Here is an 8,795-nt window from a genome sequence, read left to right on the forward strand (position 1 = left end):
CTAACTAAAGTAATGCCAGGTGCAATAGAAATGAGAGAAATGTACCTAGGTCTTGAGGTACAGAAAAGACAAAACTATCATTTGGATAAAACAGGGATTTTAGTCTTTTTCTTGAAACCCATTAGTGGATAGTCATCATTGCCTTCTCATTGTCACTATACACATGCTTTGTTCCCAATAAAGCTATTTCTGATTCTGTCTTTGAATTTGATTTTGTTGTTGACAGAAACAGAGTGAAATGTCGCAAATAGCATTTGGGAGGTTAGGGGGTGAATGGAGAGAAAGGAAAAGGACTCATGCTTCCCTGTTCTCATATTGGTGGTTCTCAAACTTTGAAATGTTTAGGAATTATCTGGGGAGGGAAGCATAGTACAAATACATATTTTTCAGGCCTTATCCTCACAGATGCATTCTAAGGCACCCCAAATACCAATTAGATTTACCCCTATGGCCCACTGAGTAACTCAAGACTGGATATATGTATCAGTTTTTCTCAACATTGCAGAAATAGCCTTCCTGGTTCCTCCCTCTGAAAATGCCACTCTACATGTTTCTTCTGAAATAGCCTATGCTTGTGGCCAAATACTGATGTCACGTAGAAATTTAAGGTGCAGAATCTAACTCTCAAACATCTTCAGGCTTTGAATGAATGTGTGGCCCTGGAGGTCTAAAAACTGTTATGTTGGCCGAGCTCAGTGGCTCATGCCTGTAATCCCAGCACTTTGGGAGGAGAATTCCTCTTGATCTGAAGACCATGAAATGAAGACGCAAGTTATCTTCCTTGTCTATAAACCCAATAGCCAGTAGTGACACGGGGATAGGGTAACTGCAATCAACACAGCCATTCAAAAAAGGGGAGGACAGAATCAAAGGTTCATAGCAGCCACTAGTCTGTAATATTTATGAAACCCAACCAGACCTATATCAATAGTTCCTTTGCTCTGAAGCCATTTCCTACTTTGATAGTATTTTTCTGAAAGAGATGGGGCTGGTGACTTTTATTTTAAAATGAACAAGTTCTTCCTTCTTAATATACCCTATAAATTCTCAAAAAGTGAACAGTTCCATCTTTAATTTTTTCCTCACTTCTCATATTTTACTGTATAAATAATAAAATTATTAGAAAAAGCCAAGTAGCACTTTCAGCATTCTGCCTGAAAATCTGTTTAGCAAGATCCTCAAGATCTTTCTTTACCTCATTACTCCAAGCAACAGTTTGGCTAACTGTTCTGCTGGGACATATCTCACATGGCTGTCAGGCCTCTGAGCCCAAGCTAAGCCATCATATCCCCTGTGACCTGCACATGTACATCCAGATGGCCTGAAGCAATGGAAGATCCATAAAAGACGTGAAAACAGCCTTAACTGATGACATTCCACCATTGTGATTTGTTCGTGTCCCACCCTAACTGATACATATATTCTCCCCCACCCTTAAGGAGGTACTTTGTAATATTCTCCACCCCTCCGCCCTTAAGAAGGTACTTTGTAATATTCTTCCCCGCCCTTAAGAATGTACTTATCCCAAACCTATAAGAACTAATGATAATCCCACCACCCTTTGCTGACTCTCTTTTCGGACTCAGCCTGCCTGCACCCAGGTGAAATAAATAGCCTTATTGCTCACACAAAGCCTGTTTGGTGGTCTCTTCACACGGACGCGCGTGACATTTGGTGCCGAAGACCTGGGTCAGAGGGACTCCTTCGGGAGTCATGTCCCCGGTCCTCACCCTCACTCCGTGAAGACATCCACCTATGACCTTGGGTCCTCAGACCAACCAGCCCAAGGAACATCTCACCAATTTCTAATCGGGTAAGCGGTCTTTTCACTCTCTTCTCCAGCCTCTCTCACTACCCTTCAATCTCCCTGTCCTTCCAATTCCAGTTATTTTTCCTCTGTAGTAGAGACAAAGGAGACACATTTTATCCGTGGACCTAAAACTCTGGCACTGGTCACAGACTCGGGAAGGCAGTCTTCCCTTGGTGTTTAATCACTGCGGGGATGCCTGCCTGATTATTCACACACATTCCATTGGTGTCTGATCACCGCAGGGATGCCTGCCTTGGTCATTCACCCACATTCCCCTGGTGGCAAGTCAATTGTTGGGACACCTTCTTTGGCTACTCACCCACATTGCAGCCCAGGGCTGCTCCCCACCCCGCTTCTCCGTGTCTCTACCCTTCTCTTTAAGCTTGCCTCCTTCACTATGGGCAACCTTCCACCCTCCATTCCTCCTTCAAAACCTCTTCAACTCACACCTGACCTAAAACCTAAATGCGTTATTTTCTTCTGCAATACTGCTTGGCCCCAGTACAAACTCGACAGTAGTTCCGAGTGGCCACAGAATGGCACTTTCAATTTGTCTATTCTACAAGACCTAGATAATTTTTGTCAAAAAAATGGGCAAACGGTCTGAGGTGCCTGATGTCCAGGCATTGTTTTACACATCGGTCCCTTCCTAATCTTTGCTCCCAATGCAACTCATCCCAAATCTTTCTTCTTTCTTTCCTGTCTGTTCCTTCAGTCTCCACCCCAAGCTCTGAGTCCTTTGAATCCTCCTTTTCTATGAACCCATCTGACCTCTCCCCTCCTCCCTAGGCTGCTCCTCGCCAGGCCGAGCCAGGTCCCAATTTTTCCTCAGCCTCTGCTCCCCCACCCTATAATCCTTCTATCACCTCCCCTCCTCACACCCGGTCTGGCATACTGTTTTGTTCCATGACTAGCCCTCCCCCACCTGCCCAACAATTTCCTCTTAAAGAGGTGGCTGGAGCTAAAGGCATAGTCAAGGTTAATGCTCCTTTTTCTTTAGCTGACCTCTTCCAAATCAGTTAGCATTTAGGCTCTTTTTCATTAAATATAAAAACCCAGCCCATTTCATGGCCCGTTTGGCAACAACCCTTAGATGCTTTACCACCCTAGACCCAGAGGGGCCAGAAGGTTGTCTTATTCTCCATATGCATTTTATTACCCAATCCACTCCCGACATTAAAAAAAAAGCTCCAAAAATTAGATTCCACCCTCAAACCCCACAACAGGACTTAATTAACCTCGACTCAAGGTGTACAATAATAGAGTAGAGGCAGCCAAGTAGCAATGTATTTCTGAGTTGCAATTCCTTGCCTCCACTGTGACACAAACCCCAGCCACATCTCCAGCACACAAGAACTTCAAAATGCCTAAGCTGCAGCAGTCAAGCATTCTTTCAGAACCTCCTCCATCAGAATCTTGCTTCTAGGGCCAAAGAATGCCCGCAGCACAGGATTCCTCCTAAGCTGTGCCCTGTCTGTGTGGGCCTCCACTGGAGGTTGGACTGTCTGACTCACATCGCCACTGCTCCTAAAGCCCCTGGAGCCCCAATCCAGTGTTCATTGGCCGACTCCTTCCCAGATCTCCTCGGCTTAACAGCTGAAGACTGACGCTGCCCAATCGCCTCAGAAGTCCCCTGGACCATCACAGACACCGAGCTTTGGGTAACTCTTACAGTGGAGGGTAAGTCCATACACTGTTTAATCAATACGGGGGCTACCCACTCCACATTACCTTCTTTTCAAGGGCCCGTTTCCCTTGCCCCCATAACTGCTGTGAGTATTGACAGCCAAGCTTCAAAACCCCTTAAAACTCCCCGACTCCGGTGCCAACTTGGACAACATTCTTTTATGCACTCGTTTTTAGTTATCCCCACCTGCCCAGTTCCCTTATTAGGCCGAGACATTTTAACCAAATTATCTGCTTCCCTGATTATTCCTGGACTACAGCCACATCTCATTGCCACCCTTCTTCCCAACCCAAAGCCTTCTTTGCATCTTCCTCTCGTATCCCCTGACCTTAACCCACAAGTATGGGACACCTCCACTCCCTCTCTGGCAACTGATCACACGCCCATTACTATCCCATTAAAACCTAATCACCCTTACCCTGATCAACGTCAGTATCCCATCCCACAAAAAGCCTGTTATCACTCGCCTGCTACAGCATGGGCTTCTAAAACCTATAAAATCTCCTTACAGTTCTCCCATTTTACCTGTTCAAAAACCGGACAAGTCTTACATGTTAGTTCAGGATCTGTGCCTTATCAACCAAATTGTTTTTCCTATCCACCCTGTGGTGCCCAACCCATATACTCTTTTCTACTCAATACCTTCCTCCACAACTCACTATTCCATTCTTGGTCTTAAAGATGCTTTTTTCACTATTCCCCCACACCCCTTGTCCCAACCTCTCTTTGCTTTTACCTGGACTGACCCTGACACCCATCAGTCCCAGCAGCTTGCCTGGGCTGTACTGCCTCAAGGCTTCATGGACACCCCCCATTACTTCAGTCAAGCCCAAATTTCTTCCTCATCCATTACCTATATCAGCATAATTCTTCATGAAAACAAATGTGCTCTCCCTGCTGATCGTGTCCAACTGATCTCTGAAACCCCAACCCCTTCTACAAAACAACAACTCCTTCTCTTCCTGGGCATGGTTGGGTACTTTCTCCTTTGGATACCTGGTTTTGCCATCCTAACAAAACTGTATATAAACTTACAAAAGGAAACCTAGCTGACCCCATAGATCCTAAATCCTTTCCCCACTCCTCTTTCCATTCCTTAAAAACAGCCCTAGAAGCTGCTCCCACACTAACTCTCCCTAACTCATCCCAACCCTTTTCATTACACACAGCCAAAGTACAGGGCTGTGTGGTCAAAATTCTTACTCAAGAGCCAGGACTGCACCCTGTAGCCTTTCTGTCCAAACAACTTGACCTTAATGTTTTAGGCTGGCCATCATGTCTCTGTGGGGTGGCCACCGCCACCCTAATACTTTTAGAGGCCCTTAAAATCAAAAACTAAGCTCAACTCACTCTCTACAGTTCTCATAACTTCCAAAATCTATTTTCTTCCTCACACCTGACACATATACTTTCTGCTCCCTGGCTCTTTCAGCTGACTCACCCTTTGTTGAGTCTCCCACAGTTACCATTGTTCCTGACCCGGAATTCAATCCGGCCTCCCACATTATTCCTGATACCACACCTGACCCCCATGATTGTATCTCTCTGATACACCTGGCATTCACTCCATTTCCCCATATTTCCTTCTTTCCTGTTCCTCACCCTGATCACACCTGGTTTATTGATGGTAGTTCCACCAGGCCTAATTGCCACACACCAGCAAAGGCAGGCTGTGCTATAGTATCTTCCACATCTATCATTGAGGCTACCACTCTGCCCGACTCCGCTACCTCTCAGAAAGCTGAACTCATTGCCTTAACACGAACCCTCACTCTTGCAAAGGAATTATGCATCAATATTTATACTGACTCTAAATATGCCTTCCATATCCTGCACCACCATGCTGTTATATGGGCTGAAAGAGGTTTCCTCACTACACAAGGGTCCTCCATCATTAATGCCTCTTTAATAAAAACTCTTCTCAAGGCTGCTTTACTTCCAAAGGAAGCTGGAGTCATTCACTGCAAGGGCCACCAAAAGGCATCAGATCCCATTGCTCAGGGCAACGCTTATGCTGATAAGGTAGCTAAAGAAGCAGCTAGCATTCCAGCTTCTGTCCCTCATGGCCAGTTTTTCTCCTTCTCATTGGTCACTCCCACCTACTCTCCCACTGAAACTTCCACCTATCAATCTCTTCCCACACAAGGCAAATGGTTCTTGGACCAAGGAAAATATCTCCTTCCAGCCTCACAGGCCCATTCCATTCTATCGTCATTTCATAACCTCTTCCATGTAGGTTACAAGCTGCTAGCCTGCCTCTTAGAACCTCTCATTTCCTTTCCATCATGGAAATCTATCCTCAAGGAGATCACTTCTCAGTGTTCCATCTGCTATTCTACTACTCCTCAGGGATTGTTCAGGCCCCCTCCCTTCCCTACACATCAAGCTCGGGGATTTTCACCTGCCCAGGACTGGCAAATTGGCTTTACTCACATGCCCTGGGTCAGGAAACTAAAATACCTCTTGGTCCAGGTAGACACTGTCACTGGATGGGTAGAGGCCTTTCCCACGGGGTCTGAGAAGGCCACCACGGTCATTTCTTCCCTTCTGTCAGACATAATTCCTCGGTTTGGCCTGCCCACCTCTATACAGTCCAATAACGGACCAGCCTTTATTAGTCAAATCACCCAAGCAGTTTCTCAGGCTCTTGGTATTCAGTGGAAACTTCATACCCCTTACCGTCCTCAATCTTCAGGAAAGGTAGAATGGACTGATGGTCTTTTAAAGACACACCTTACCAAGCTCAGCCTCCAACTTAAAAAGGGCTGGACAGTACTTTTACCTCTTGCCCTTCTCAGAATTAGAGCCTGTCCTTGAGGTCCTACAGGGTACAGTCCATTTGAACTTCTATATGGATGCACTTTCTTGCTCAGCCCCAACCTCATCCCAGACACTAGCCCTCTAGGTGACTATCTTCCAGTCCTCCAGCAGGCTAGACAGGAAATTTTCCGGGCTGCTAAACTTCTCTTGCCTACTCCAGATTCCCAGCAATATGAAGACACCCTAGCTGGACGATCAGTTCTTGTTAAGAATCTGACCCCTCAAACTCTACAACCTCGATGGACCAGACCCTACTTAGTCATCTATAGTACCCCAACTGCTGTCCCCCTGCAGGACCCTCCCCATTGGGTTCACCATTCCAGAATAAAGCTGTGTCTGTTGGACAGCCAGCCTGATATCTGCTCTTCCTCCTGGAAGTCACAAGTACTTTCCTCTACTTCCCTTAAACTCACTCGCATTTCTGAAGAACAATAATAACCCTTATGAGCCTAATATATCCCTTCATTCCATTAGGTCTATCCATCCTTACCCTACTCTTTGGAACAGGGCTTTACGCAGTCACCCCCACTTGGACTGCGCCCCAAAAACTTGTCATCCCTACTATATTCTGTCTAATCATACTCCTATTCACCATTCTCAACTACGCATAAATGACCTGCTCTTGTTTACACTGCCAGTTTACATTGTTTCTCCAAGCCATCACAGCTGATATCTCCTGGTGCTATCCCCAAACTGCCACTCTTGACTCCCTCTTGGAGTGGATAGATTATCTTTGCTGACAGGGCACTCTCCAATACTTCCACCCTGATGAAGTTCTATTCTTTACTTTTATACTCACTCTTATTCTCACTCCCATTCTTATGCCCCTCTCTACTTCTCCCTAGTTACCTCCAGCATACTATCAATCTTACCCACTCTCTCCTCACTGCCCCCAATCCCTCTCTAGCAAAGAGTTGTTGGCTATGTGTTTCCCTTTCTTCCTGCTCTTACACAGCCATCCCCACTCTACAGGCTGGCTGGGATACCTCTCCCATCTCCCTGCACCTCAGAACCTCCTTTAATAGCCCTCATCTTTACCAGCCTGAGGAATTTCTTTAGTTTCTAGACAAATTTGGTGAGAAGTCCCCAGACATTTCACACCAAAAAGCTGCCACACTTATCTGCATCTACTTACGGCACTGTTCTCCTTATGTCAATTCCACCCCCCCATATTTGTACCCCTAACCACAAAAACAACTATCCCTGTTGCCTCCCCTTTATGCATCTCCCGACAACAGCCTACTGAAATCCCTTTAGGCAACCTTCCACTATCCAAATGTTCCTTTACTCTTTATCTCCAGAAGCCAGCCACACACATTACCAAACGGATGGGAGCATTCCAGCTTCCCATTACTGATAAGCCCTCTATCATTACTGACAAACTAAAAAACATTGGCAGTCACTATTGTTTAGGAAGACACCTACCCTGCATCTCACTCCATCCTTGGCTACCCTGCTCATCTGAATCTCCTAGCCCCACCTCTTTCTTGCTTATACCCAGCCCCATGAATAACAGTGAAAGTTTACTTGTAGATGCTATGCGCTTTCTCATACACCAAGGAAAGAGAACCTCTCCCTCTACGCAGTTGCACCATCAATCCCCATTACAACCTCTAACGGCTGCTGCCCTTGCTGGATCTCTAGGATTTTGGGTGCAGGATTCCTCTTTCAGTACACCCTCTCACTTTTTCACTTTACATTTCCAGTTCTGCCTGACACAAGGTCTCTTCTTTTTATGTGGCTCTTCCGCCTACATGTGCCTACCTGCCAACTGGACGGGCACAGGTACTGTAGTCTTCCTTGCCCCGAAAATCCAGTTTGCAGATGGGAATGAACAACTGCCTGTCCCCCTCATGACACCAACATGACAAAAAAGAGTCATCCCACTAATCCCTTTACTTGTGGGCCTAGGACTTTCTGCCTCCATTATTGCACTTGGAACTGGAATAGCAGGCATCTCAACCTCTGTCACAACATTCCACAGCCTCTCTAATGACTTTTCTGCTAGCATTACAGACATATCACAAACTTTATCTGTTCTCCAAGCCCAGGTTGACTCTTTAGCTGCAGTTGTCCTCCAGAACTGCTGAGTCCTCGATTTGCTCACTGCTGAAAAAGGAGGATTCTGTATATTTTTAAATGAAGAGTGTTGTTTTTACCTAAATCAATCTGGCCTGGTATATGACAACATAAAAAAACTCATGGATAGAGCCCCAAAACTCACCAACCAAGCAAACAATAACGTTGAATCCCCTTGGACACTCTCTAATTGGACGTCCTGGGTACTCCCAATTCTTAGTCCTTTAATACCTATTTTTCTCCTTCTCTTATTCAGACCTTGTGTCTTTCATTTAGTTTCTCAATTCACGCAAAACCACATCCAGGCCATCACCAACAATTCTATATGTCAAATGCCCCTTCTAACAACCCCACAATATCACCCCTTACCCAAAATCTTCCTTCAGCTTAATCTCTCCC

The sequence above is a fragment of the Homo sapiens genome, chromosome 1, assembly GCF_000001405.40.
Source record: "Homo sapiens chromosome 1, GRCh38.p14 Primary Assembly".
In the NCBI taxonomy this organism is placed as follows: domain Eukaryota; kingdom Metazoa; phylum Chordata; class Mammalia; order Primates; family Hominidae; genus Homo; species Homo sapiens.